Source organism: Homo sapiens, chromosome 6 (genome assembly GCF_000001405.40).
Source record: "Homo sapiens chromosome 6, GRCh38.p14 Primary Assembly".
Taxonomy (NCBI): domain Eukaryota; kingdom Metazoa; phylum Chordata; class Mammalia; order Primates; family Hominidae; genus Homo; species Homo sapiens.
This window is the reverse complement of record NC_000006.12, coordinates 32,148,363-32,175,047: the sequence shown is the minus strand read 5'-3', so window position 1 is coordinate 32,175,047 and position 26,685 is coordinate 32,148,363. Positions and strand designations below refer to the sequence as shown.

The following is a 26,685-nucleotide window of genomic DNA, read 5'->3' as shown; positions in this document are numbered from 1 at the left end:
GGCTGACATGTCCATGGTCCTACCATTTGCAGTAGTCTTCATGTGTGGGATCCCATGGCTTGGCTGAATACCCCACACTCTGATGTCTGACTGAATTGGCCTGTTTGCTGTGTTTTCCCAGTCACAGTTCACAGAACACATGTGTATGCGCCTTTGCATGATACACTGATGTAACAGGACCATAGAATGTGTGTTATAAATTTGTCATCAGTATATTTTGTGAGCCGTATGCTCATTAAATTTGGCCCTCCATTGCATTTCTAAATCCTTGGACTTTTGTTCTCCAAAGAGGGTCACTTAATATCAAGTGTTAAGAGAAGAAGGTAACTGGGTCTCCAGGTCTGCAAAGAACCATCCCTGCATGCCTTACCTTGGTGACCTCCCTGGCCCATACCTCTCTACACAAACATTATCTTTCCAGTGGCTGTGTACAGTCTGTGTCCATGAGCTCAATGCATGTCACAGGGTCAATCCTGCTGTGAACCCCATTGTTGGTATTTATTTATGGACATTATCCTCCATTCTTTGCACTGTTGGCACACATTTGATGAGAGCAGCATCTTTCCCTGTGGCATCTTGATCCCATTCGGTACATTTCTCTTGTGAGATGACCTCTTCCTGATTATTGTTACTCTGCCTTCATTATGGCTATGTATTGCATGTATCTATTCAGAGTCGGTTACCATTAGGCTTGGTGTGTTCGTTACTTTCTCAGTGACTTCTTTTAGTAGTCACTTCTACTCAAGAGGATAACTATCTAATTTGTGATCAGAACCGCCATCTCTGTCATTAACTGTGGCTCTATGGGTGGGTATACAGCCTTAGAATCTGTTCAGCAAGTGTTTATTGAGCACCTACTCCATCTCCTATTGTCCTGGCACTGGAGATAAGACAGAGTCCCTGTCCTTAAGCTGCTTACAGCCTAAGGAGGGAAACAAAAACGCCAGTCAACACATAGTGTGTTGTCAAGATCAGTGGTTCTTAAATTCAGGCGCACATCAGACTCACCAGAGGGCTTGTTGAAATACAGATTGCTAGCCAGCCACGATGGCTCACACCTGTAATCCCAACAGTTTGGAAGGCTGAGGCAGGAGGATCGCGTGAGTCCAGGAGTTCAAAACCAGCCTGAGTGACAGAGTGAGAAAAAGAAAAACAGATTGCTGGACCTAATGCCCAGAATTTCTGATTCAGTAGATCTGGGGTGAAGTCTAATAATTTGCATTTCTATACTTCGAGACCCGCTGATCAAGATAAAAGTGTAAGGAAAGCACAGGCCTGGAGGGGTTCAGGCAGCCCTCCAAAAGGTGACACTGAGCTGTGTGAGGCAGGAGAAGAGACAGGCATTCCAGCCAAAGGGAACAGCATGTTCAAGGTGGGGAAGCATGAAAGATCATGGTGTCTGAGGAACTGAAGTGAATCAGTTTGACTGGAACAAAGAGTTTTGTGAGGATGTGGTCGAAGATGTAAGCAGAAGTCAACTTATCAAGAAGAGCCTTTAGGCAAGACAGGGAAATGCTCTGTGTTTCAGAAAAATCTGTGCTAACAGAAAAATCTCTGTGGTTGCTACGTGGAAGATGGATTGGAGGGAGTTGGGAGCCTACTCCACATAGTTCAGGGGAGAAATGATGCTGTTCTGAACTTGTAGGGGCAGTGGGATGGAGCAGCTCAGAAAGCCTACGGTATTCCAACTGGCAGGGTCTCCTGTTTCCTCTATTGCCTGTTACCTTCTCGCTTGGCAATAGGCTTACCTTTGAGCATAGCCCTTCCCATCATGGGAAGACAGTGCCTGTGGCCTCAGTAGGAATGACAGGTATTTGCCTGAACACCCTTTTTGTGAATTGTTACCCTGCCCCCAACACTGGGGCAGAGTGGAGGAAGGAGGAAGAACCTAGAACACAGGTTCTGTGTTCCTGCCTCTCTTCCTCTTGAGCCCTTTCCTCTCCCAGGGCAAGTGCTGTTAGGTCACCTTTACTCCATTCCCTCCTTTTTTCACTTGGTGAGGCCTCACACACTGTACCTGCCCACGCAAAGTGTCACTAGAAGGAAGGGAAAGGGTAGTAGGATTCGTTTGCCTGTCTGGAGGTAGGATTGGTCTTTGTAGCTATTCCAGGTATGTCCATAAGTTTACCTAGGAATAGGGGAGCTGCCTGGGTGGAGAGGGATTTTTCTAGTTATGCATTTACATTCTTTTATCTGTCACTGGGTGTAATTATAAATTTGTGTCTATGTGTGAACATGTTAGTCTTTGTATGACTGTGTGTCTGTTGGCATTAGTGACACGAACTTTTAATCTTGCCATTTGGCCCTTGGGTATATGGCTGTGAGTGTTCTGTCACAATCACCATATATGCTGTGTGCTGTGTTCGTATATATATATGCAATACATACCAGTGTCAGCGTAATGGAGTGGTTAGGAACACAGGCGGCTTAGATTTAACCTAGAAACTGCTGTTTAGGAGCTGTATGACCTCAGGTAAGTTATTTAGCCTCCCTGGGCCTATTTCCTATAAAATGTAAATAGTAATAGTACTTTCTAGACTATCATATGCATCATTTTAAGAGTTTAACTTAATGTATAGACCAGTACTGTTCTACAGAAATATAATGCAAGCCACAATGTAATTTTTTTATGGTAGCCACATTTTTACAAGGCAAAAAGAGTGAAATTAATTTTAGTAATATATTTTCTTGAATCTGATAACATCCAAAAGATTATAATTTCTTTTTTTTTTTTTGGAAATGGAGTCTCACTCCATTGCCCAGGCTAGAGTGCAGTGGCGTGATCTTGGCTCACTGCAACCTCCGCCTCCCGGATTCAAGCGATTCTCCTGCCTCAGCCTCCCGAGTAGCTGGGATTAAAGGCATGCGCCAACAGGCCCGGCTAATTTTTGTATTTTTAGTAGAGACGGGGTTTCACCATGTTGGTCAGGCTGGTCCTGAACTCCTGACCTCGTGATCTGCCCACCTCGGCTTCCCAAAGTGCTGGGATTACAGGCGTGAGCCACTGCGCCCGGCCCAAGATTATAATTTCAAAATGTAGTCAGCATAAAAGATTAGTAATGGATATCTCACATTTTGTTTTTTATTCAGTCTTTGAAATCTGATGTGTATTTTACATTTCCAGCACATCTCAGTTCAGACTAGCTGCATTTCAAGTAGCCACATGTAGGTGGTGGCTACTTTCTCGGACAGCACAAGTATAGACCATTATAAGACCCTTACCAGCTACAAGTGTTAGCTATTATTCTTGTTGTCATTTATTATCAGGTATCTGTGAATTGTAGATGTCTGTGTCTTGTGTCTCTTGTCTGAATATATCCGGAGCCTTTGGGAAGAGTGGTGGGAGAGCAGTCCTGAGCTCTTTCTCCACCACCCTCATCCTAGAGAGCCTTCCTGGGAAGGTTTCAATGAGACCCCTGCCCCAGTTTGTGTCTCAGGCCCTTGTCCTCATAGCACCAGCCCCCAGCCCTGCCTTCTGTGCCTTGCCTACCCCACTCTCCTCCAGAAACCAGGCTGATTGTCCCTTGCCCCATCCCCTGCAGGTGGCCAGAATGGATTTGTGGCCAGGGGCATGGATGCTGCTGCTGCTGCTCTTCCTGCTGCTGCTCTTCCTGCTGCCCACCCTGTGGTTCTGCAGCCCCAGTGCCAAGTACTTCTTCAAGATGGCCTTCTACAATGGCTGGATCCTCTTCCTGGCTGTGCTCGCCATCCCTGTGTGTGCCGTGCGAGGACGCAACGTCGAGAACATGAAGTGAGGGGCAAGGGGTCTTGGGCAATGAGGGAACCTAAGGGTACAAAGTGAGTAGTGGATTGGGGGAAGGGGGCATGGTGTGTGTAGAAAAGACTGAGAGAGACCAGAGACAGGGAATGGGGAGAGGACTGCAAAGGTGGTCAGAAAGACAGTAAGGTGGGGGGAGCTGAGGCATGCAGATGGACATCAATGGATCCCACTGGGACCCCTTGCCATGACCCCACAGGATCTTGCGTCTAATGCTGCTCCACATCAAATACCTGTACGGGATCCGAGTGGAGGTGCGAGGGGCTCACCACTTCCCTCCCTCGCAGCCCTATGTTGTTGTCTCCAACCACCAGAGCTCTCTCGATCTGCTTGGTGAGACCCCACCACAGGGCACACCTCCCCCAGCCATGCCTCCCCTCCTGAAACCTTCCCTAGAATATCTTCTCCTAGAGATCCTCAATTCCCCTTCCTCTGGGACATTGCCCCCTTGCCTCCCACTCAGGCCTTCATTCCCTGGGTAGAACTGCCCTCATAAGCAGGTTACATATACTTTTGGTCACCCTTTCCTTCACTTGGGGCCCCCCTCCCTGCCTAGTCTCCTCCTTCACCTCCAGTCCCTACCAGAGGGTGATGAGCTGGGTGAGGTGGGTTGCCTTCTGTGACACTCTGCCTCCACCCCGATCCTCACCCACTCCCACCCTGCCCAAGGGATGATGGAGGTACTGCCAGGCCGCTGTGTGCCCATTGCCAAGCGCGAGCTACTGTGGGCTGGCTCTGCCGGGCTGGCCTGCTGGCTGGCAGGAGTCATCTTCATCGACCGGAAGCGCACGGGGGATGCCATCAGTGTCATGTCTGAGGTCGCCCAGACCCTGCTCACCCAGGACGTGAGTCATCCTGGGGAAATGGGGGATTGGAGGGATACAGAGTAGAACAGTTGTAAATAAACTGATATGCAGGGCCAGTGGGCCTCAAAGGTCCCATTATAACATCACACCTATTCTGACTCCTCCATATGTATTTGTCTTCTTTGACCCTCTTTCTCCCCCAGGTGAGGGTCTGGGTGTTTCCTGAGGGAACGAGAAACCACAATGGCTCCATGCTGCCCTTCAAACGTGGCGCCTTCCATCTTGCAGTGCAGGCCCAGGTGACTACTGCTCTTCGTTCTGCTACTCAGCTGCCAACCCCCACCATTCCCTCATCTCTGGGCAGGGGCTTATTGTAGGAGTCTCTGAAGAGAGCTGTGGACTGACCTGCTTTAACCCTTCCCCAGGTTCCCATTGTCCCCATAGTCATGTCCTCCTACCAAGACTTCTACTGCAAGAAGGAGCGTCGCTTCACCTCGGGTGAGGGCTTTGAGCAGTTCTGGGGTAGGGTGTGTCCGGAGAGGCTGGGAGGACATCCCTGTGAGGCAGGGGGATCATTCAGTGTCAGAGCCATGAGATGTCTACACAGTCATCTAGTCTAACCCCACATCAGCCAATAAGTCTTTACTAAGCACCCACCATACCCTGCCAGATGGGTAGCACTTGGTCCCACCAAGAGAGGCTGTTACTAATCTTAACAGGAAAGATAAGGCCTGTGTGCACAAAGCTGTAATGAATAACACTCATTCAGCAGTAAATGCCAAACCCAGAGGAGGGGGGCTGGAGGGGTGCTGAGGAGATGTCTGAACTGGGGATTGGAGAAGGCTTTGTATAGGAGAAGGGCCTCAGAAGTGGCAGCTGGCAAGCCCAGGGATGGTTGTCCAGGGTTGGGGGAAGAGAACTGAAAGGTTGAGGAAGAGTATCACTCGGAAGCTGGGCCCCACCTGTGGGCAAAGACCTGGGTGGACAGGCCATGATGGTGCTCCCCTTGCCCCAGGACAATGTCAGGTGCGGGTGCTGCCCCCAGTGCCCACGGAAGGGCTGACACCAGATGACGTCCCAGCTCTGGCTGACAGAGTCCGGCACTCCATGCTCACTGTTTTCCGGGAAATCTCCACTGATGGCCGGGGTGGTGGTGACTATCTGAAGAAGCCTGGGGGCGGTGGGTGAACCCTGGCTCTGAGCTCTCCTCCCATCTGTCCCCATCTTCCTCCCCACACCTACCCACCCAGTGGGCCCTGAAGCAGGGCCAAACCCTCTTCCTTGTCTCCCCTCTCCCCACTTATTCTCCTCTTTGGAATCTTCAACTTCTGAAGTGAATGTGGATACAGCGCCACTCCTGCCCCCTCTTGGCCCCATCCATGGACTCTTGCCTCGGTGCAGTCTCCACTCTTGACCCCCACCTCCTACTGTCTTGTCTGTGGGACAGTTGCCTCCCCCTCATCTCCAGTGACTCAGCCTACACAAGGGAGGGGAACATTCCATCCCCAGTGGAGTCTCTTCCTATGTGGTCTTCTCTACCCCTCTACCCCACATTGGCCAGTGGACTCATCCATTCTTTGGAACAAATCCCCCCCACTCCAAAGTCCATGGATTCAATGGACTCATCCATTTGTGAGGAGGACTTCTCGCCCTCTGGCTGGAAGCTGATACCTGAAGCACTCCCAGGCTCATCATGGGAGCTTTCCTCAGCACCTTCACCTTCCCTCCCAGTGTAGCCTCCTGTCAGTGGGGGCTGGACCCTTCTAATTCAGAGGTCTCATGCCTGCCCTTGCCCAGATGCCCAGGGTCGTGCACTCTCTGGGATACCAGTTCAGTCTCCACATTTCTGGTTTTCTGTCCCCATAGTACAGTTCTTCAGTGGACATGACCCCACCCAGCCCCCTGCAGCCCTGCTGCACCATCTCACCAGACACAAGGGGAAGAAGCAGACATCAGGTGCTGCACTCACTTCTGCCCCCTGGGGAGTTGGGGAAAGGAACGAACCCTGGCTGGAGGGGATAGGAGGGCTTTTAATTTATTTCTTTTTCTGTTGAGGCTTCCCCCTCTCTGAGCCAGTTTTCATTTCTTCCTGGTGGCATTAGCCACTCCCTGCCTCTCACTCCAGACCTGTTCCCACAACTGGGGAGGTAGGCTGGGAGCAAAAGGAGAGGGTGGGACCCAGTTTTGCGTGGTTGGTTTTTATTAATTATCTGGATAACAGCAAAAAAACTGAAAATAAAGAGAGAGAGAGATCTGGGTGTTGGTGGTTGCATTTGTTAAGGAATTGAAGAAGCAGTTCTTGCCCAGGCAACCTGCCCCCAGCCAGAAGACTCAGGGGCAGGCCAAGAACACAGGCCTCCCCCTTTCTTCAGCTCTCTGAAGTTTCCATTGTTCATTGCTCTTTGGTGGCTGATAGCCTTATCTGCAGCTCACAGTCGGCCAATCCCAGAGGATTAGTGGGTCCGGTTTCTGTATAAATTAGGGGGCAGGGGTGCTGTAGAGGCTTCTTATCGATGATTGACGCCGAGGCCCAGGCTGTTGTCCTCACAGGAGCCTGGTTAATGACATGGCAGACACAGTGGCTGTGGTCAGCCTGGAGTGGACTACACTGCCACTCTCACCAAACAATAAGTGAAACTGTTGGGCTGGGGACAGGATTTCAGAAGAGAACGATGGTAAAGTGGAGAGGCATGAGGATAGTGAATGTTGGAGAGGGGCTTGGAGGAAAGAGGGAATGCCTGAATGGAGAGGGGTCTTGGGGAAAGTTGGGGAATAGAAGTCAAGGCGGGAGGAGTGTGAGGACTCACAGGCACCTAGCCTCTCCTCCAGCAGCAGCACCTGGTCGCTGAGAGATTCGATCCGGTCACCCCGGCCCCACAGCTCAGCCACCTGTTCTGGCTGCAGCTCTTCAGGCGGCACGGGCAGCACCGCTCTGACCCAGGCCCCAGCCTGACCGGCCCACTAGAAAGGAAGAGATGCCTCAGGGTATTGACAGTGACGTCTGGCCTCGCCCCACCCAGCAGGCTTGGCTCACCTGCTCCAGCCGCTCCAGGCGCCCTCGCAGCTCGTGAATCTCCTGCTTCAGAGCGCGCTCATCTTTTTCCGCCTCCCGAACTAGGGACAAAGGAGACCAAGAGTGTGACCACTACCCGAGCCCGGACGCCCGTCCCGAGTCCCTCGGGTGGCCCGTACTCCTGCCCACTCACCGGCCACGCTGAGTATGCTGGCACTGGTTGGGGGCTCTGGGGACCCCTCCATGCAGGTGCGCCCGTCCACGCCTAGCACTAGGTCATGGGGGCAGCCGCAGGTGAAGCTGCCTGCCGTATTAAAACAATGGTGCGAGCAGAGGGTGATGCTGGTCCTACATTCATCCACGTCTAGTTACCGAAAAAAGGAAGGGGCTGAGAGAGGGGGCGGGGGCAAGCACCTGGGTAGGTGGGGAGGACAAGCTGACTCACCCACATGACAGTGCTTCCCTCCCCAGCCGGGGGCGCACTCGCACTGGTCAGGCCTAACGCAGACGCCTCCGTTCAGGCAAGGCTTGGCGCAGATGGCTGAGGACAGAGGAAGTGGGGTTCAGACTCAAACCGACGACCCAGCTCCCCAGCTCCGTGGGGCGCGCCTCCCGCAAGGCCCGGAAGACCCAGCCTCACCTTCACAGGTGAGCGCCCCCGGGTGCCGCTTCTTCCAGCCCTGGCAGCACACTGCATGGGTCTGCTGAACCTCCCGCCTCACCTCCCGCCACATAACGCGGTACATGGTCCTGGAACACAGCGCCCGGCTCAGGACCCTGAGTACGGGTCCTAGTTGGGGTTCTTGGGGTCCCATCTCCCCATCCCTCACCTGTAAGTGCTGCAGATGCGCCTCCCAGCGCACAAGGTCAGGTAGGGCTTGTACACTGGTTGGCTGTAGGACTCGTTGTAGTGGAGCGGGACCACCAGTGTCTGCTTGGAGCAGACTCCCTGACTGCGTCCATGCCAGAGGATGAGGTGGGAGAGATTGAGTAGGCCAGGCCCTGGGGAGCCAGGAGTCCCACTTCCCTCAAGAGGCTACTGAGGCCCCCCGCTCTCCCTCCAGATGACAGCCTCTCACCCCCATTCTAAACTTACAGTTATGTTTTGCCTCCTGTGAAGCCCCACCCCCAGCAGAAGGCTCCTGAGAAGAGCTCACCCCGGGCCCTACCCCCTCTGTTGTCACCTCTCTCTGAGGGATCCACCCTTGGCCCCCTCGCCTGGTATCAGTAGCAGGAGGAAGGAGAATCCGCCTAAGAGAGTGCACAGCTCAGCCCTGGACCCCATGATTCGCTTTGACGCTGGACCCTACAGGCTGCAGGCAAGAAAAGGTTAATGGATGCCCGTCCCCTCTCCTATTAATTTCTCCAGCACTAGTCCCTCCAAGGGCACTCTGCAGGTACCCTCTAAGGGAGTCAGGACATTCACTTTTACATACTAGCCACCAGGATTGCCTACACCTGTGTGTACAACCCAACACTATCCTGTCCTTAGCATATCATGATCCTTTCAGCATCATAAAAGCTCACACCCCAGCACACTCCCTCCACCTCCCCTCTAACCTACTTACTTCTAATCCCCTCTGCACAACCTGGAGGGACACACAGTCAACCCTCCCCTTATGACCCTCCTGTCTTTTTTTGGGTTTTTTTTTGTTTTTGTTTTTGAGAAGGAGTTTCGCTCTTACTACCCAGGCTGGAATGCAATGGCATGTTCTTGCCTCACCGCACGACCTCCGCCCCCCAGGTTCAAGTGATTCTCCTGCCTCAGCCTCCCAAATAGCTGGGATTACAGGCATGCGCCACCACGCCTGGCTAATTTTGTTTTGTTTTGTTTTGTAGGGTGTGAGGGTATATAGCTAGGGTTTTTTTTTTTTGGTTTTTTTTTTGTTGTTGTTTTTTGAGACGGAGTCTCGCTGTCACCCTGGCTGGAGTGCAGTGGTGCGATCTCGGCTTGCTGCAAGCTCCGCCTCCCGGGTTCATGCCATTCTCCTGCCTCAGCCTCCCGAGTAGCTGGGACTACAGGCGCCTGCCACCACGCCCGGCTAATTTTGTTTTGTATTTTTAGTAGAGACGGGGTTTCTCCATGTTGGTCAGGCTGGTCTCGAACTCCCGACTTCAGGTGATCCGCCTGCCTTGGCCTCCCAAAGTGCTGGGATTACAGGTGTGAGCCACCATGCCTGGCCAACCCTCCTGTCTTTAACATGCCCTCTTATAACTTCATACCTTCAAAACCCTAGCTGGTTGGGCGCGGTGGCTCACACCTGTAATCCCAGCACTTTGGGAGGCTGAGGTGGGTGGATCATGAGGTCAGGAGTTCGAGACCAGCCTGGCCAAGATGGTGAAACCCCATCTCTACTAAAAAATACAAAAAATTAGCCAGGCGCAGTGGTGGACGCCTGTAATCCCAGCTACTCGGGAAGCTGAGGCAGGAGAATCCCTTGAACCCTGGAGGCAGAGGTTGCAGTGAACCAAGATCATGCCACTGCACTCTAGCCTGGGCGACAGAGCAAGACTCCGTCTCAAAAAAACAAACAAAACAAACAAACAAAAAAAACCCCTAGCTATATACCTTCACACCGTACACACAAACCAAGCACCTGGAAACTCCACACCTTTCACACACTGCTACTCCCCTCATATACCCACACCGTCACATAACGCCCTAAATGCACATCCCTTGCTCCAACAAAACACCCCGCAACTCATGCCCACCCTAAGGCTCTGAGTAAACCCCACTCTTTCCCCATTTGAAATTCTCTCCCCACTTGCCTTCCTCTCTCTCTCCATTCCCACCTGGCTTCTTTCTCCTGGGAGGCTTCAAGCAGACCAGCCTCAGCAGAAGCAGCTCAGACTGGTGGGTGGGCCTGGCAGGCTAAGAAGGAGAGGAGGGGCTGGGCCAGAGAGTCCTCCCATTCCTGCCCCCTCCCACAAGCCTCCTCCTTAGCTCCAGCAGGGTCAGCTCAGTAGGGTCAAGTCCCACTACCCTCATCCCCACCCCAGCAAAGGGCTCCCTAGAAGTATCTTTCCAACCCTCTGAGGCCCCTATTTCTGGACTCCCCAGATCAGAAGCTATGAGCTCTGTAACACCACCAGTACCCCCTTGAACCCAAAACAGACTAGGGGAGAGTTAGGGGGCAGGGAGAGAACCAGCTGCAGGGAACAAAGCAGTTCAGGTTATGGGAGAAAAAGCAAGATCAGCTGAGGAAAGCTAGAAGGGCAAGTCGTCACAAAGGGGCAGGGGGGCAGCCCAGGGCACCAAGGGGAAAACTGCCCCCCTCTCTTCATGACATTTGTTAGGGCTTAGGGGGAACAGAATTGAGTCAGCCACCACCCCCCATGCCAGAACAGACAGGGCCCTATTGTCTCAGCCAAAATTCCTTCTTTCAAGGAAGAGGAGGCTCATTGTCCAGCCCTACACCCAGCTCTGGCCCACAAAGCTCAAAAGCGGCACAACGAATGCCCACCCTGACCCTCTGCCCCCTCGTCTAGCCTGGGGGTGGCAGGCGCATTCCACCCATGAGGCTGAGGCCCAAACCACTGGAGCCCTGAGCTTAACCCCCCAGTCTTGGGGACTGGGAGAGGAAGAGAATTGTCTTCAGCAGGAAAGAACCCGCAGAGAACCAGGAACCCACAAAGAATGGGCATTGAGAGAGAGCGGAAACACCAAGGGGGTCCCCACCCTAGACCAGGCATCTGGGCACCCAGGCCTCAGGCTCCACCCCCACCCTCCTTGGGGAGCCAGGTCCCCTCCACCTGGAAATGAGCCAAGTCACACTGAGGAAATGGAACTTTATTTCCATAAATACAGGGATAACACCTATTCAAAGGTAGTTAAAAGAGGGCCTGGGGCCTCAAAGAAACTAGGCTCTCCCAGGGGGGTACTCCAACACTGATCATAGGGACTGGGGGATCCCCAAACCTGAGATGGGCCTCATAGGCCACAGATATTCCCCAACACTGACACTTCAAGAACGGAACTGTCCCCATAGGGGAGCCTCAGAACCCCACTCTCATGGGTAGTCCCTCTTAGGAGTTGGGAGGGCTGATGTCAGGGGACTTTAGAGAAAAAAGGGAACATGGGGAGGAGAGAAGCTAAAAATGTCCTGAGTGGCCTGGAAGGAGACCCCTGTGGTGGGCAGGGGGTGGGTTCTCCACCCATACAGCCAGATACGGAGGAGCAGCAGCAGCAAAAGCAGCCACAAGTTAAAAACATGGTTTCTCACTTCCCAACTTCGGCCTTGAGAGAAAGGGACAGCACGGAGCAATCCCCCAAATGAGAGGACATGAGGTAGGGGAGGCCTGGAATTGTCATTCATGGAGGAGCAGAGGAAGGGGGTTCTGGGAGGCCAAGTCTCTACTAAAACCCCGTCTCTACTAAAAATGGGGGATAATATGGGAGCAATGAGGTGGTCACAGGCACACCAAAGCCTGACATCTGCTTTCCAAGGCCACCACTTGGTCTCTGGACCGAGGAGTTCCTGGGGACCCCTGAATATATCCTCAGGAGAGCCAAGGTTCAATGCAGGTCTCATAAAGGGTACGGTTGGAGTGCCAGGCTGTGTGGGAGATACCGGCCATTGGACACCTCACTATGGCCCCCCGGGCCAATAGAGTCTTCAACCCAAAAGAATCCCGCAGATAAACCTTCAAGGTGGTCGAAGGGGCGTGGAAGCATGGAAGAGAGACACAAGGAGAGACAAAGTGAGTTACTGCTGGGATCCTGGACCTCCTCCCCACAGGGTGAACCCTTCAGCTCAGGAGTCACAGAGAGGGCTCTGGAATAAGGTGGGACAGCGGCTAGAAGGGGAAGTAATCCCAGGGGGCTCACCAGTTGCTCCTCCATCTCCAGGACGGTCTCATTTGCATCATAGAAACCAAAGAAGCTACAAAGAGATTTGGGGGGAGGTTATCAGAAGAGCTGGAGAAAATCTGGCCGGGCGCAGTGGCACACGCCTGTAATTGCAGCACTTTGGGAGGCCAAGGAGGGCAAATCACCTGAGGCCAGGAGTTCAAGACCAGCCTGACCAAAATGGTGAAACCCCATCTCTACTAAAAATACAAAAATTAGCTGGGCATGGTGGCAGATGCCTGCAAGCCCAGCTACCCAAGAGGCTGAGGCAGGATAATTACTTGAACCCGGGAGGTGGAGGTTGCATTGAGTCGAGATCGCACCACTGCACTTCAGCCTGGGTGACAGAGCGGGACCCCATCTCAAAAAGGAAAGGAAAGGAAAAAGGAAAGAAAAAAGAAAAGGAAAAAAGAAAGGAAGAAATCAAGGTGGGCTAAGGTCCCAAAGGAACCCAAGGCCTACTGGGGAGACAGGTAGCAGGGAGGACACTCAAAACTACCTTACTGGATATAATGTACTTCATGAGGTGATACACTGAAGATACGACCTCACTTCTGTAGAAACCCCATCAAAAATGCATTACTGGCCGGGCGAGGTGGCTCACACCTGTAATCCCAGCACTTTGGGAGGCCAAGGCCGGCGGATCACCTGAGGTCGGGAGTTCAAGACCAGCCTGGCCAACGTGGTGAAACCCCATCTCTACTAAAAATACAAAATTAGCTGGGCGTGGTGGCTCAAGCCTGTAATCCCAGCACTTTGGGAGGCCGAGGAGGGTGGATCATCTGAGGTCAGGAATTCGAGACCAGCCTGGCCAACACGGAGAAACCCTGTCTCTACTAAAAATACAAAATTAGCTGGGCGTGGTGGGCGCCTGTAATCCCAGCTACTCAGGAGGCAGAGGCAGGAGAATTGCTTGATTCTGGGACGCAAAGGTTGCAGTGAGCCGGGATGGCGCCACTGCACTCCAGCCTGGCGACAGAGTGAGACTTTGTCTCAAAAAAAAAAAAAAAAGAGGCCAGGTGTGGTGGCTCATGCCTGTAATCCCAGCACTTTGGGAGACCAAGGAGGGTGGATCACCTGAGGTCAGGAGTTCAAGACCAGCCTGGCCAACATGGAGAAACCCCGTCTCTACTAAAAATACAAAATTAGTTGGGCATGGTGGTGGGCGCCTATAATCCCAGCTACTCAGGAGGCTAAGACAGGAGAATCACTTGAACCTGGCAGGCGGAGGTTGCAGTGGGCCGAGATTTGCCATTGCACTCCAGCCTGGGCAACAAGAGTGAAACTCCAACTCAAACAAACAAACAAACAAAAAGATACTAAAGAGACGTAACAAGATCATGCAACTCAAGATCCTGATTTGGATCTTCCACTGTATATTTTTTTCTGTAAGGACAGTTGGAAAAATTTGAATAATCTGTGAGCGCATATTCAGGAAAATTTGAATCTATGTTTATATTTAAATATAACATTAACGTATATAAATAAATGTATATATATTTAGAGAAAAAAGATATTAATGTAAACATGACAAAATGTTAACATTTGCGAAATCTAGGTGAGGAGTATAAATGACTGCTTTTTGCTATTTTGGTAACTTTTTTTTTTTTTTTTGAGACAGGGTCTTACTCTGTCACCCAGGCAGGAGTGCAATGGTGAGATCTCGGCTCACTGCAGCCTTGGCCTCCTAGGCTCAAGCAATTCTCGTACCTCAGCCTCCCAAGTAGCTGGGACTACAAGGGCACACCACCACGCCCAGCTAATTTTTGTATTTTAGGTAAAGACAGGGTTTTGCCATGTTGCCCAGGCTGGTCTCAAACCCCTGGGCTCATGCCTCGGCCTCCCAAAGTGCTAGGATTACAGGCGCAAACTTTTCTTAAGTATGAAATTATTTCAAAATAGAAAGGTCTTAAAATCCTTTTTTTCTTTTTTTTTTGAGACAGAGCCTTGCTCTGTCACCCAGGCTGGAGTGCAGTGGCACCCTGTCGGCTCATTGCAACCTCCGCCTCCTGGTTTCAAGTTCTCCTGCCTCAGCCTCCTGAGTAGCTGGAACTACAGGCGTGCGCCACCAGGCCCACTAATTTTTGTATTTTTAGTAGAGATGGGGTTTCTCAATGTTAGCCAGCTGTTCTCGAACTCCTGACCTCAGGTGATCCACCCGCCTCGGCTTCCCAAAGTGCTGGGATTATAGGCGTGAGCCACCGCACCCAGCCAGATGGAGTTAAAATCTTTTAATTAAAAAATATTGGCCAGGCAAGGCCGGGTGCGTGGGCTCACGCCTATAATCCTAGCACTTTGGGAGGCCGAGGCGGGTGGATCACGAGGTCAGGAGATCGAAACCATCCTGGCTAACACAGTGAAACCCCGTCTCTACTAAAAATACAAAAAAATTAGCCGGGCGTGGTGGCGGGTGCCTGTAGTCCCAGCGACTCAGGAGGCTGAGGCAGGAGAATGGCGTGAACCTGGGAGGCAGAGCTTGCAGTGAGCCGAGATCACGCCACTGCACTCCAGCCTGGGCGACCGAGCGAAGACTCCAACTCAAAAAATATATATCTATCTATATATAGAGAGAGATATATATTGGCCAGGCGCAGTGGCTCACGCCTGTAATCCCAACACTTTGGGAGGCCGAAGCAGGCGGATCACAAGGTCAGGAGATCGAGACCATCCTGGCTAACACAGTGAAACCCCGTCTCTACCAGAAATACTAAAAATTAGCCAGGCATGGTGGTGGGCACCTGTAGTCCCAGCCACTTGGGAGGTGAGGCAGGAGAATGGCTTGAACCCAGGAGGCGGAGGTTGCAGTGAGCCGAGATTGTGCTATTACACTCTAGCCTGGGCGACAAGAACAAAACTCTGTCTCAAAAAAAAAAAAAAGGAAGAAACAGTGACTTGGAACATGAAAAATGTTATATAACCATGAGCTATCACTGTCATTCATAGGGTTGTGGTAGATGTGAAATGACATGATGTACATAAAACTCATCACTTACTATTATATTATTACAATATTTTAAGAGATGTCCTGCCTTCACTGAAAACTGTCCAGTGCCTTCCCATCTCACTCAGAATTTAAAAAAAAAAATCAAAAGCCTGGTTACCGGGACTGTCGGGAAATAGGGATGAGGATATATATATATATATATATATTTTTTTTTTTTTTTTTTTGAGATGGAGTTTCGCTCTTGTTGCCCAGGCTGGAGTGCAATGGCGCAATCTCAGCTCACTGCAACCTCTGCCTCCCAGGTTCAAGCGATTCTCCTGCCTCAGCCTCCCAAGTAGCTGGGATTACATGCATGCATCACCACACCCAGCTAGTTTTGTATTTTTAGTACAGACAGGGTTTCTCCATGTTGGTCGGGCTAGTCTCGAACTCCCGACCTCAGGTGATCCACTGCCTCGGCCTCCCAAAGTGCTGGGATTACAGGCGTGAGCCACCACACCCAGTCTATTTTTTAATGGGTATACGGTTTCAGTTTGGGGAAAAAGAAGTTCTGGAGATGGATGGTGCTGATGGGTGATGGTTTTACAATGATGTGAGTATACTTAATGCCACAAAACTGTACATTTTTAAATGGTTAAAATGGCAATTTTATGTTATGTATATTTTATCACAAAAAAAAGAAAAAAAAATATCAAGGGCCTTACCTTGACCTGCTAAGGTTTGACATGCCTGGTCCCCTGCTACCACTTTTAGCTCCTCTCCTGTCCTCTCCCCAGCTCCTTGTGCACTAGCCATGCTGGCCTCCTTATTGCTCACACGTGCTTCAGGGCCTCTGCAGGTGCCAGACCTTCTCCCTGGGGGGTTCTTCCACCCAGAGCACAACTCCCTCCTTCACTTCCTTCAGTCTCTAATTGAATGGTGACTTTTCCAGGAGGACTTCTTCGGCCACTATTGAAACTAGGCCCCGGACATCCTCTAATCCTTTCCCCTGCCTTATTACCTGACATATATATTTGTATGTATGTATCAGCTATCTTACAAACTAGAATATAAGCTACATAACATTAGGGACTTCTCTTTTATTTACCACTGCATCCCTAGGGCCCAGAACAAGCCTGCGCCCATAATGTTGAATAAATATTTGTTGAGCAATTCAAGTAGCTCAGGTGACATTACAGATCACACATGGTGACCTATAACACAGGCAAGCACATAGTACCATGGAGCCATGGATTTTTTTCTAAGGAATAGGATGGAGGGGACAAAGCTGGAGGCTGTTATAATAGTCCAGGTAAGTAAAGAGGTGGTAGGAAATGTGATAAAATGGTATAAAACTACACACACACATTGAACCAATGTGAATTTCCTGGTTTTGATACTGTGCTATAATTACATAGGATGCAACCACTGGGGGAAGCTGGGTGAAGGGCCTTGCTATACTATCTTTGCAATTTCCTATGAATCTATAAGAATTTCAAAATTAAAAGTTTTTATAAAGTGGGGGAGGGGGTGATAGGGATGGAGAGGAGAAGAGTCAGCAGGACTTAGTGACTGGCTTGATACAAGGGGTTGGGATATGACTCCCAGGTTTTGGTCTTGGGTGACATGATGAATGGGGGGAGGAGCACTAACTGAACAGTGGAAGGAGCAGGCCAGTTTAGGCATGAGATAAAGACCAACTGGGGTTGGGGGATGTCTTTAGCCAATCTTCAGGCCACAAAATCCCTTATTACCTGGACTGCCAGGGAGTAATAACACCATCATCAGGGCCCCCAATCAGCACCAGGTGGCCCACACGCAGAAAGTTCTTCCGCCATACTGTAGGATGGGAAGAAGAGAGGCTGAGTCAGCCACAGGGGTCAGGCCAGGTTGGAGAGGGAGACATAGGGAGTCAAAGAAGCAGAAAAAGCAACACAGGTAGGAGCCTGAATTCTCACCTGTGGCATTGGGATGGTCTCTTTCCCCATTGATCAGGGCCAGGAAGCTGCTGGCATTGAGGTACAAGTCATCGTGGTGGGGATCTGGGTACAAACAGCAGTTAGAAAAAGAAGCAGAAAAGGGAGGCAAGACTGGTGGTGAAAAGCCCAATAAGGAAGCTGCAGCAATAGTCAAGGTGGATAGTAATAAAATAGTAGTGATAATGTAGGCCAGGTGCGGTGGCTCACACCTGTAATCCCAGCACTTTGGGAGGTAGAGGCAGGTGGATCACTTGAAGTCGGGAGTTTGAGACCAGCCTGGCTAACATGGCGAAACCCTGTCTCTACTAAAAATACAAAAGTTAGCCAGGCGTGGTGGTGCATGCCTGTAATCCCAGTTACTCGGGGCGCTGGAATCACTTGAACCCAGGAGGTGGAGGTTACAGTGAGCCGAGACTGCACCACTGCACTCCATCCTGGGAGACACAGTGAGACTCCATCTCAAAATAATAATAGTAGTGATAACAACCGTAAACATAGTAACAAGTACTTTTTTTTTTTTAGATGAAATCTCACTCCGTCACCCAGGCTGAAGTGCAGTGGCAGGATCTCCGCTCACTGCAACATCTGCCTCCCGGGTTCAAGCAATTCTCCTGACTCAGCATCCTGAGTAGCTGGGATTACAAGCGTGTGCCCACATTCAGCTAAATTTTTTTTGTATTTTTAGTAGAGATGGGGTTTCACCATGTTGGCCAGGCTGGTCTCGAACCCGACCTCAGGTGATGCGCCCACCTCCCCCTGCCAAGATATTGGGATTACAGGTGTGAGCCACCACACCTGGCAATAGCAAGTACTTCTATCTAGTATCTACTATATGAGCCAGGTACTATTCAAAGTACATTGCATTCATTTATTTATTTAATCCTTACAACCACCTGGTGAAGTACATGCTATAATATTTTACAGATAAGGAAAACTGAGTAACAGAATGGTTAAGTAACTTGCCCAAAGGCACCCAATAGGGTCAAGATTCAAACCCAAGTATTCTGGCCCCATGGTCTGGTCTAGAGGTTGGCAAACTGTGACCAAAGGACCAAATCCAGCCTGCTACTTGTTTTTGTAAATGAAGTTTTACTGGAACACAGGCACATTCATTCACATATGGTACATGGCTGCTTTCACACTACAACAGCAGAATTGAGGAGTTGTGAAACAGACTATATGTCCTACAAAGTCAAAAATATTTACTCTCTGGCCCTTTATAGACAAGGTTTGCTGACTCCCACATCAGACTAAACCTTCTAAGGCAATAAGGTGACACACTTAAAACATTCTGGGCCAGGTGCAATGGTTCACACCTGTAATCCCAGCACTTTGGGAGGCCGAGGCGAGTGGATCACCTGAGGTCAGGAGTTCGAGACCAGCCTGGCCAACATGGCGAAACTCCATCTCTACTTAAAATACAAAACTTAGCCGGGCATGATGGCGCCTGCCTGTAATCCCAGCTACTAGGGGGACTGAGGCAGGAGGATCACTTGAACCTGGGAGGCGGAGGTTGCAGTGAGCCAAGATGGTGCACTGCACTCCAGCCTGGGCAACAGAACAAGACTCCGTCTCAAAAAAAAAAAAAATTCTGAACAGAGCCTGTTCAAATAACTCAATAAATGTAAGTTATCTTTATTGTCATCACTGCTATTGGTTGTAGCAGAGGTGGAAGCAACTGACCTGATCCATGGAAGCCCCAGTTCAGCATCCCCACTCACCATGCCAGTAGTTGCAGATGGAGAATTCCTGGCCCCAGGGGCTATAGCAGATCCGATAGAGGTTAGACCGCATGGAGGTGGGGAACAGCCACTTCAAGTAGTCCGTGTCTGGCAAGCGAATGGCAATGCTAAGTGACCATAAACCTCTGTTCCCCCAAAACTCAGGGCATTCTATGGAGTCTAGTGCCCACTCACCTCCATACTGTCCCATCTGTGGAGAGGAGAGGGAGATGAAAGAATCCACGTTGTGATCATCCATGACAGAAAGCAGAGCCCGGCACACAAGGCCCCCTGTAAGCAGAACACCACATTGGGCAGGCACTTAAGGACAGCAAAGCCAGCAGCACCCCCCACCCCCACCACACACACACACACACACACACACACACACACAGAGACACACACAGACACACACTGTACACAAAGGAGACTGAGGCTTACAGAAGGCAGGCACACCCTGTGCCAAAAGGTCACACATCATATAAGTGACTGAGCCCGAATTAGATGCTGGGCCTCCTGCCTCTAGTTCTAGGATGTTTTTACCTGCCCCATTAGCCCTTATGTCCAAGAACCATGGGTAACAGGAAGCAAAAGGGCAGCAGTGTAGGGAGCCTCCCTCCCATTCAAGACAGAGATGAGACCCAGGTGCTGAGGGAAGTCAGAAAGGAAGGGCTCAGGTACCAGGGTTGTGCCTGGAGCAATGTGGTTCAGAAAAAGGGACGCTAGGAAGTGTCCCTCAGATAAGGATCAAGCCTCAGATAGGGCTTAGGAGTTAGGGGCAGGGGAGTCGCCTACCCTGCGAGTAGCAGATGAGATGCACCCCTTGAGGGGCCTTTGCCATGATGGGGACCACAGCCTCTCGGAACCCTTGCACCTGTTCCCACAGGGGTCGCAAGCTCTCTCTCCCATCGAAGAGATCGAGCACTGTCACCACAGTCCCGGGGTGTGTCTGTGGGAAGGGGGCAATGCAGCCACCGGGGATAGGCTAAGAAGCTCCCACACGCCACCCCCTGGCCCGCGTCCACAGGTCTATTGTACCCTGCTAGAACCAGGGATCCCGTCCCCCAACTCTCCCCCACGCCAGCACCAGCTCCCTGAGGAACTGGGCAGGCCCAGAGGGGTGGCTTTCAGTTCCCCGCTCTCCCTCCCCTGCCACAGTAGACGCCTCTAACGCCCTGCACCCAGGTGTCCCCTGCCAGACCTCATTGATGTATTCCAGCAGGTGGCGGAAGCTGTACGAGCTGTCGAAGAGCCCATGCACCACGATGACCGGCTTGTAGGACGCGCGGTGGGGCGCGGGGGCTGCAAGCAGCAGCAGCGGCAGGAAAGGCAACAGAAGCAGGACCCACGCCGCGGGGAGCCGCTGCCCGCAGAGCCCCAGCATGCTCCCGCCTGAGAAAGGGGTGATAAGGGCATGTGAGGGAGATGGCAACACCCTCCTCCCTCGGAACAGACGCCCGGCAATCAAGCCACCTCCTCTCGCTCCCACACCAGGTCCGTGTCACAAAATAGCCTACTTTTAACTTACTCCAGCCCTCTCCCTACAAACACACCCCCCCACCACGTTGACGCACCAACGCGCACCCGAAGTCCCGCCTCCAACTCAGCGTTCGGGGGACTTGTTCTCTAGGTCCAGGATCTTCCTAATGCATCGCCTCAGCCATGAACAACGCGGAGTTCTTTAATACCCGTGAGCAGCAGCCCAGGCCCCTTGAAGAGTGCAGACTCCCACCTGGCCTGGGTCCGTAGGCCTCGCTCCACCCGCTGTTTACTTATCCCAAGTCTGGAACCCACGGTGGCGGGGGGAAGGGTGAGGAAAGAGAGCGCAGGGGAATGACGGATGGGAGGGGGAAGGGCGGGCTGCTTGGGGTCGCGCAAATCCGTCACGTCCGGGGCTTTCTCTGGCAACCGCGCGAGCGTTCCCCGCAACACAGACCCAGGACAGGAGGGGCAATGGAATATTCCATTGCGCCCTAGGTGCTGGGGAGGAAACAGGCGGAGCGATCCATTTAGGCCAGTGGGGAGAGGAAAAAGCAGCAAACATATTCTGGGAATGGAAAGAAGGCCTCTCCAGGCTTCGTTGCCCCCAGCGACCCAAAAGTCCGATTTCCCCGCCTTGATTCTCCCCACTTCCCAATACAGGCGTCTGGCTCCGCAGCAGAACACGAAGTTTGCATTCCCCAAGGGGCGGCCAGGGGGCGGACCAGGGAAAGGTAGTCCTCTGCATTTTGCCGTGTGCTGGGTGAGTGGCAGGGTGGCCTGGAGGGCTGATGCCAGCCCGGGCGTGCCCCTCAACACCCACCCCACCCCACCCTCCAGTCCGCCCCAGGTCAGCGACTTACAACTCTTCATTCTGAAGTGCGTGTAGTGCCCTTGTCTCCAGAGACGCAGAGAGTCCTCGAGGCCCCTTGAGCTAAGTGCAGCCTGGCCCAGTTTCTCCTGCCCTACTCTACTCCCCTCCCTATAAGCGACCCACCCTCAAGGGGCGGAGGGCGCGTAGGGATGCGCTGACTCATGCCCGCGTAATTTCGACCAGTCTTTCAACCTGAACGACCCCCAGAATCTGGCTGTCTGAGTTATCTGTGGGTGGCTCCCTACCGAAACCCCCAGGCGCCCCACCTCTCCGCCTGTGACCCCTAACCGACACCCTAGTGCCTCAGGGCTTTTACTTGCTAGGGCTTTTACTTAGCATTTAAAGACGTTTCTCTAGAGATAAGGATTTCTCAGCATGTCTGAGCCCCTCTCTCTGTTTACAAGGTCATTGCTTGGTCTAAATTTGTCTCAATCAAAACATTTTTGCGCTCAGAATGGTGTAGAGTGACGATGAGGTGGCGGTAAGGGGTTGAGCGCTCACGCGAACGCCTAAGTGACCAGAACGACTGGTGTGAAGCCGTGATCTGACTCTGTGGAGCCTGGGACTGGTTTCAGCGAGAGCCTCTGTACTGCTCTGTAGTCTCTGCTAGGACATGGACGAAAAGGGACGCAGCCGGGAGAGCGACTGCCCCAGGTGGGGGCTGGGGGGACGTAAGGGAAGAATAATAATTATCTGGCTGTGTTTTTGTTTAAAAAAAAAAAAAAACTGGTGTAAATCTCCATAGACTTCCTATCCTCGCTCCCTTCACCCACCCACGCGCTCCCAAGATGCAATAAGCAAATAAAAAGACTAATAACGCTGTACTGCAGGTCGACTCAGGAGCTGGAGATGCGTCTTGGTGGGAGGTGGTGGGTGGGAGTAGGGGGGTTTAGGGAATGGATCTGAACATTGACCAGCCCAGAGACTCTAAGCAGCCTCAAAAGCAAAGGGAAAGTGGGGGAACAAGCACACATTACCAACAGAGCTGCCAGAAATGAGCAGTTAAGTCATACCCCCTACCCCCTCCAAAAGAGCTTCAGCTCCTTAGTCCTGGACGAAGAAGGTATGTATGCACACCGCCCAAACTCTCTCTCCCTTTTCCCTCCAAGGCCCAGCTCCCCCTGATTTACAGACCTGGGCCTCCCTCTTTACTGCTAGGTTGGTAGGTTCACCAAACCCTGGGAACTTTTCAGACCATCGCAGTTCTGAACTCTGCACAATTCTCTCTCACACACAAGTATTTATCTCTTCTAAAGAGGAGGAAACTGGGGCCAAGGATTTGGGAGAAGACCCTGGCACCTTGCAGGGAGCTAAGAGGGGGAGACGACCTGCCTCTGGAGGCACCTGGGTTATTAACTCCACTGAGAACCTGTTCACTTCCTCCCACAATACAATCACTGAGTCTTGGTGGGGGAGACTCCAGAGAGTTCTCCTTCCTTCCTTTCCTTAGTCCCACCCGCCTCGCCTGGTCTAGCCTCCGTGTTTCCATGACAACTCCAAAGGAACCCAAACTGGGGGCTTGAATGCCGGGGTAAGAGGAGGAGAGAGGTGGTCCGAGAGCAGAGAGAGACCGAGTGGGAAACATCTGAAGCGCTCCCCCTCCCTCGCCTCGGTCCCTTTAAGCTCCCCCCCTCCCCGCTCTCCCTCCGCCCGCCCCCCCCGCCCCCCCCCCCCGCCGCTGCCTTCATCTCTCCATCTCTGCGCTGCTGCCGGCTGCGCCATCCAGCACCCAGACTCCAGCACCGGCCGAGGACCCCCACTCCGGCTGCAGGGACCCTGTCCCAGCGAGACCGCAGGCATGTCATCCGAAAAGTCAGGTAAAAACAATAACAAAACCTCCCACCCCCTCCACTGTCTCCAGACTCTCCGTCCCCCTTGCCCCAACCCCCTCCCTTACCCCTCCTCAGCTGTGGTTCTATTTCATTCCCCTTCTCTCCAGCTCTCAACACTCCCCCAGTCCCCCTCCTCTTTCTGTCTCCCCCTTTCTCTTCCTTTCCTCTTTCCAGTGGCAGCCTCTGCCCCTTGCCAACAACATGGTCAGGGGGGTAGGTTGAGAGGGTGAAGGAGGTACAGCCAGGTTTTGCAGGGATGGCATCATTGGGAGTGACAGATGGACAATCACTGGCTGGCATGGAGACATCCTGTGAGGAAATATGGAGACATGACCAGATGGGGGTTGTCAAGGGAGCAAAATCCAGAGGGCTCTTCTTAATCTGCCCTAAAAGAGGTCCCGAGATTCTCACAGAGGCTGGGGCACTCCTCCCCCCACTGAAGGAACAGCAGAGTGGAACACATGTCATCCCACATGTGTTTATACAACTGTTGAATTGAGCACATATTAACACAGGGTTGCATGTCTACGCATACGCACACACAGGACTAGCTCGGATAGGCCAGCCCAAAGGCAGCTATAGCAAAGGAGAGGGGATTAGGTCTGCAGGTGAGAGCTGGGTGCATGGTGATGAAAAAGACAGAAAAGAAGCAGACCAGAGTTGTGACCTCAAAACTAGATTGGAAGGAAGAAGGAGGGGGGCAGATGGCCTAGATACAGCCCCTCTCTTGCCCCTCAAATTAGAGATGGTTTCTCACCCGTCTCTCTCTATGTGTCTCTCCCATTATCTTTCTCCATCCCTGACCGGCTGTGTTTCCCCTTACCCCCTCCTCAACTCATCACTGTGTCATCTTTCCTCTTATACTCTCCTCCACTCACCTCCCCCAGGACTCCCAGACTCAGTCCCTCACACTTCTCCGCCGCCCTACAATGCCCCTCAGCCTCCAGCCGAACCCCCAGCCCCACCGCCACAGGCAGCCCCTTCCTCACACCATCACCACCACCACCACTACCATCAGTCTGGCACCGCCACCCTCCCGCGCTTAGGGGCAGGGGGCCTGGCCTCTTCCGCGGCCACCGCTCAGCGCGGTCCCTCCTCCTCTGCCACGCTGCCGAGGCCCCCCCACCACGCCCCTCCCGGCCCTGCTGCCGGGGCACCCCCACCCGGCTGCGCTACCTTGCCCCGCATGCCACCCGACCCTTACCTGCAGGAGACTCGCTTCGAGGGCCCACTTCCCCCGCCGCCGCCCGCTGCCGCCGCCCCGCCCCCGCCGGCGCCAGCCCAGACTGCCCAGGCCCCTGGCTTCGTGGTGCCCACGCACGCGGGGACTGTGGGCACGCTGCCGCTGGGGGGCTACGTAGCGCCCGGATACCCCCTGCAGCTGCAGCCTTGCACTGCTTACGTGCCGGTCTACCCGGTGGGCACGGTGAGTGCCGGGCAGACAGGGACATGGGAAAGAGGGGGACGCGATACAGGACTTGAAATTGGGGATACGCTGGGGGCTGGTAGGATAGAGGAACAAGGGCAGGGAACAGGTAGTGTTCCCGGGACAAGCCCTAGAAAGAAGGGAGCCTGAGACAGGAAGGACTAGGGAGAGACACGGGAGTAGGAGTCTACTGGTGCCCAGAGTCAGGGCCTGGGAGGGGGATCGGAGCCTAGAGGTTCAGAGGAGGTCTGAAAGTAGGAAACCGCCTGGCGGGGGACGGGGGGAATGGAAGCTGGGAACCAAGAGGGATGTGGGAGAAGCCTGGGACTAAGGGGGTAGGGGAGGCCTGGTAGGTGTCTGGAGGGAAGAAAGAAGGTCTGACCTGAGGCCAGGACAGCCCCAGTGGGACCATACCTTGCGGGAGAGAATGTAGAAAGCCCAAGAATATGGTGGTTAATGAAGCAAGGAAGGGAGGAGAGGGGCTTAGGTGGAATTTATGGGTGTCCTGGAAGGGTAATGGGTGCTTTATTTTGAGAAGCCATAGGTAAAAATTGTGCTTTTAAAGCCACTCTGCCAGCCGCCCAACGCTGGTAGGCTGGGAGAGGGTCAGAGTGATGCCCCTGCCCCCCAAATTTCCTTCCACAGCCATATGCAGGCGGGACCCCGGGGGGAACAGGAGTGACCTCCACTCTCCCCCCGCCGCCCCAGGGCCCAGGGCTGGCCCTACTGGAGCCGAGGCGCCCGCCACACGACTACATGCCCATCGCGGTGCTGACCACCATCTGTTGCTTCTGGCCTACTGGCATCATTGCCATCTTCAAGGCCGTGCAGGTAGGGGGCAGGGGCATACTCGGTTTGGGGGCGGGGACAGGGAGTTCTGGGCGTTCTGGGGACCATCTTAGAGAAAGGCTGAGGCGTTCGAACGAGGCCGCAGCTCTTTGACCTCCTTCCCCCACCCCTCCTCCGTAGGTGCGCACGGCCTTGGCCCGCGGAGACATGGTGTCGGCCGAGATCGCTTCACGCGAGGCCCGGAACTTCTCCTTCATCTCCCTGGCCGTGGGCATCGCGGCCATGGTGCTCTGTACCATCCTCACCGTAGTCATCATCATCGCCGCGCAGCACCACGAGAACTACTGGGATCCCTAAAAACGCCCCTGGTCCGGCCCCACTCTGCGCCCCTCGATCTCCCAGGCTCTTTCTGCAGTCATACCGCGGACCCAATGGGCGCCCTGCACACCCGTTTCTGGGGCCGTCAGACTTGGATACATCGTAAACTCCGCCTCCACGGAACGTCTCGCCTTGCGAGCAAGCTCGGAATCCAGTTCCTCAGGAACCCCTCCAAAACCCACACCCCCAGGGACGCCGCTTTCCGGGATCCCGGCCAAACGCCGGACCCTCAGTCGCTCCAGGCCCCCTCACCCTCAAAGTGTAGCGCCCCCAACCGAGCAACCTCGGTTTGGTCCCTAAAACCCCGCCTCCTCTATAAGCACCGCCCCAGCTCTGACAAAACCCCGCCTCCAGGTCGGCAGGCTCCGCCTTCTTTTCTTCTCCGCGGGGTGATTCAGTCCAGTGATTGGGTTTGTGGCTCCAGGCCTCGCCCACAGACGGACAGACCCCTCCCTTTCTTCCGGCAAAAGGACCGAGCCCTGGGGTAGTAAGGCCCCCACACTCCTGTTTTTTGCAAGTACATTTTTGTCCCTCCTCCACCCAGGTATCTGCCTATTTTCTTGCTAATCCCAGAACCTTTCCTTTTGCTTTTTTTAAGGACATTTGGGAAGTTCCTGGTGTAGGACCCTTCTCCCTGGGATAAGAAACCTGCCTGTAAACGCTCTGTAAATACTCCCTTCCACCCATCCCAGCCCCTGGGCAGCCGGGCAGAAGGGAATCCAGGCTATGGACCTCCCAAGTCCCCGCTCCCCGCTCCCCTCGGCGGCCCCGCCTTGTTCTGATCTGTGTGTGAGTGTGTGTGAACTTCTGAAAGACAATATTAAAGAGACTTAGTTGA

General features: G+C 53.0%; 4 protein-coding genes, 2 long non-coding RNA genes and 1 other non-coding gene across 18 annotated transcripts in view, besides 3 other annotated features; 4 read left to right on the top strand and 3 right to left on the bottom strand.

Annotated features, from left to right (window-relative positions):
• AGPAT1 (1-acylglycerol-3-phosphate O-acyltransferase 1) overlaps nucleotides 1-6,836 on the top strand; it is a 9,897-nt gene extending 3,061 nt beyond the window's left edge. For 4 of the 5 annotated variants that reach the window (NM_032741.5, NM_001371438.1, NM_001371437.1 and 1 more), the window contains exons 2-7: nucleotides 3,543-3,751; nucleotides 3,978-4,111; nucleotides 4,448-4,623; nucleotides 4,788-4,883; nucleotides 5,010-5,082; nucleotides 5,600-6,836. In NM_032741.5, coding sequence (NP_116130.2) covers nucleotides 3,552-3,751; nucleotides 3,978-4,111; nucleotides 4,448-4,623; nucleotides 4,788-4,883; nucleotides 5,010-5,082; nucleotides 5,600-5,772 — 852 coding nt within the window. In that variant the 5' untranslated portion in view covers nucleotides 3,543-3,551 and the 3' untranslated portion in view covers nucleotides 5,773-6,836. Of the gene's footprint in view, nucleotides 1-1,931; nucleotides 2,111-3,542; nucleotides 3,752-3,977; nucleotides 4,112-4,447; nucleotides 4,624-4,787; nucleotides 4,884-5,009; nucleotides 5,083-5,599 lie in introns of those variants that run through there. The other variant, NM_001371439.1, reaches the window with a different exon arrangement.
• Nucleotides 4,550-5,749: an enhancer, noted in NCBI's record as "CDK7 strongly-dependent group 2 enhancer chr6:32137076-32138275 (GRCh37/hg19 assembly coordinates)". NCBI's record gives its function as "activates an origin of replication core promoter dependent on BRD2, BRD4, P300/CBP, MED14 and CDK7 cofactors, with strong dependence on CDK7, by STARR-seq in HCT116 cells {active_cell/tissue: HCT116}" and the evidence as "EXISTENCE:reporter gene assay evidence [ECO:0000049][PMID:35650434]".
• On the top strand, nucleotides 4,932-5,018 carry MIR6721 (microRNA 6721). The gene has a single exon (NR_106779.1). It is a non-coding gene; the product is annotated as a microRNA 6721 (primary transcript).
• Nucleotides 6,763-21,049, bottom strand: PPT2-EGFL8 (PPT2-EGFL8 readthrough (NMD candidate)). The gene is made up of 16 exons (NR_037861.1): nucleotides 20,644-21,049; nucleotides 20,271-20,461; nucleotides 19,865-20,018; nucleotides 19,265-19,360; nucleotides 19,070-19,177; nucleotides 17,328-17,411; nucleotides 17,124-17,208; nucleotides 12,426-12,480; nucleotides 10,391-10,469; nucleotides 8,428-8,910; nucleotides 8,238-8,347; nucleotides 8,043-8,138; nucleotides 7,791-7,961; nucleotides 7,619-7,698; nucleotides 7,392-7,545; nucleotides 6,763-7,138 (listed from the first exon to the last, which is right to left on the bottom strand). It is a non-coding gene; the product is annotated as a PPT2-EGFL8 readthrough (NMD candidate) (long non-coding RNA).
• On the bottom strand, nucleotides 6,767-10,453 carry EGFL8 (EGF like domain multiple 8). Of its 2 annotated transcripts, none has more exons than NR_037860.2 (9): nucleotides 10,367-10,453; nucleotides 8,782-8,910; nucleotides 8,428-8,550; nucleotides 8,238-8,347; nucleotides 8,043-8,138; nucleotides 7,791-7,961; nucleotides 7,619-7,698; nucleotides 7,392-7,545; nucleotides 6,767-7,138 (listed from the first exon to the last, which is right to left on the bottom strand). NR_037860.2 is itself a non-coding variant. In NM_030652.4 (9 exons), the coding sequence occupies exons 2-9, from the start codon at nucleotides 8,880-8,882 to the stop codon at nucleotides 7,092-7,094; spliced, it is 882 nt and encodes a 293-aa protein (NP_085155.1). In that variant the 5' UTR covers nucleotides 8,883-8,910; nucleotides 10,391-10,453; the 3' UTR covers nucleotides 6,767-7,091. The 2 variants fall into 2 exon arrangements, 1 of the variants encoding a protein (NP_085155.1); NM_030652.4 differs by having other exon boundaries at nucleotides 10,391-10,453.
• Nucleotides 7,258-8,010: an enhancer, noted in NCBI's record as "H3K27ac-H3K4me1 hESC enhancer chr6:32134815-32135567 (GRCh37/hg19 assembly coordinates)". NCBI's record gives its function as "activates a minimal SCP1, AML or CMV promoter by ChIP-STARR-seq in naive H9 embryonic stem cells {active_cell/tissue: H9 hESC(naive)}" and the evidence as "EXISTENCE:reporter gene assay evidence [ECO:0000049][PMID:30033119]".
• PPT2 (palmitoyl-protein thioesterase 2) lies at nucleotides 11,373-21,520 on the bottom strand. Of its 3 annotated transcripts, none has more exons than NM_138717.3 (9): nucleotides 21,412-21,520; nucleotides 20,271-20,461; nucleotides 19,865-20,018; nucleotides 19,265-19,360; nucleotides 19,070-19,177; nucleotides 17,328-17,411; nucleotides 17,124-17,208; nucleotides 12,426-12,480; nucleotides 11,373-12,241 (listed from the first exon to the last, which is right to left on the bottom strand). In NM_138717.3, exons 1-9 carry the CDS (start codon nucleotides 21,419-21,421, stop codon nucleotides 12,098-12,100), a joined length of 927 nt encoding a protein of 308 aa, NP_619731.2. In that variant the 5' UTR covers nucleotides 21,422-21,520; the 3' UTR covers nucleotides 11,373-12,097. The 3 variants fall into 3 exon arrangements, with proteins under 3 accessions (NP_619731.2, NP_005146.4, NP_001191032.1); NM_005155.7 differs by lacking the exon at nucleotides 21,412-21,520 and adding an exon at nucleotides 20,644-20,907; NM_001204103.2 differs by lacking the exon at nucleotides 21,412-21,520 and adding an exon at nucleotides 20,654-20,907.
• LOC100507547 (uncharacterized) lies at nucleotides 20,683-22,246 on the top strand. Of its 4 annotated transcripts, none has more exons than NR_037172.1 (3): nucleotides 20,683-20,759; nucleotides 21,212-21,311; nucleotides 21,876-22,246. It is a non-coding gene; the product is annotated as an uncharacterized LOC100507547 (long non-coding RNA). The 4 variants fall into 4 exon arrangements; NR_037170.1 differs by having other exon boundaries at nucleotides 20,683-20,810; nucleotides 21,212-21,282; nucleotides 21,389-22,246; NR_037171.1 differs by having other exon boundaries at nucleotides 20,683-20,810.
• On the top strand, nucleotides 21,965-26,685 carry PRRT1 (proline rich transmembrane protein 1). 2 transcript variants are annotated; one of them, NM_001363780.2, is made up of 6 exons: nucleotides 21,965-22,076; nucleotides 22,873-22,953; nucleotides 23,149-23,239; nucleotides 24,465-24,680; nucleotides 25,326-25,511; nucleotides 25,650-26,685. In NM_001363780.2, exons 2-6 carry the CDS (start codon nucleotides 22,946-22,948, stop codon nucleotides 25,824-25,826), a joined length of 678 nt encoding a protein of 225 aa, NP_001350709.1. In that variant the 5' UTR covers nucleotides 21,965-22,076; nucleotides 22,873-22,945; the 3' UTR covers nucleotides 25,827-26,685. The 2 variants fall into 2 exon arrangements, with proteins under 2 accessions (NP_001350709.1, NP_085154.3); NM_030651.4 differs by lacking the exons at nucleotides 21,965-22,076; nucleotides 22,873-22,953 and having other exon boundaries at nucleotides 23,109-23,239; nucleotides 24,142-24,680.
• Nucleotides 25,430-25,967: an enhancer, noted in NCBI's record as "H3K4me1 hESC enhancer chr6:32116858-32117395 (GRCh37/hg19 assembly coordinates)". NCBI's record gives its function as "activates a minimal SCP1, AML or CMV promoter by ChIP-STARR-seq in naive H9 embryonic stem cells {active_cell/tissue: H9 hESC(naive)}" and the evidence as "EXISTENCE:reporter gene assay evidence [ECO:0000049][PMID:30033119]".

What these genes read in the sequence shown, in the direction of transcription:
- EGFL8 (NM_030652.4), bottom strand. Translation starts at nt 8,882, where the DNA reads ATGGGGTCCAGGGCTGAGCTGTGCACTCTCTTAGGCGGATTCTCCTTC. An exon ending in GGGGGCGCTCACCTGTGAAG is followed by an intron (nt 8,139 to 8,237) that starts GTGAGGCTGGGT and finishes CTCTGTCCTCAG; the next exon opens with CCATCTGCGCCAAGCCTTGC. An exon ending in GCCTGGAGCGGCTGGAGCAG is followed by an intron (nt 7,546 to 7,618) that starts GTGAGCCAAGCC and finishes CTTCCTTTCTAG; the next exon opens with TGGGCCGGTCAGGCTGGGGC.
- PPT2 (NM_138717.3), bottom strand. An exon ending in TGCTGGAATACATCAATGAG is followed by an intron (nt 20,019 to 20,270) that starts GTCTGGCAGGGG and finishes CCCTTCCCACAG; the next exon opens with ACACACCCCGGGACTGTGGT. An exon ending in TCTCATCTGCTACTCGCAGG is followed by an intron (nt 19,361 to 19,864) that starts GTAGGCGACTCC and finishes TTCTGCTTACAG; the next exon opens with GGGGCCTTGTGTGCCGGGCT.
- PRRT1 (NM_030651.4), top strand. An exon ending in CGGTCTACCCGGTGGGCACG is followed by an intron (nt 24,681 to 25,325) that starts GTGAGTGCCGGG and finishes TTCCTTCCACAG; the next exon opens with CCATATGCAGGCGGGACCCC. An exon ending in CCATCTTCAAGGCCGTGCAG is followed by an intron (nt 25,512 to 25,649) that starts GTAGGGGGCAGG and finishes CCTCCTCCGTAG; the next exon opens with GTGCGCACGGCCTTGGCCCG.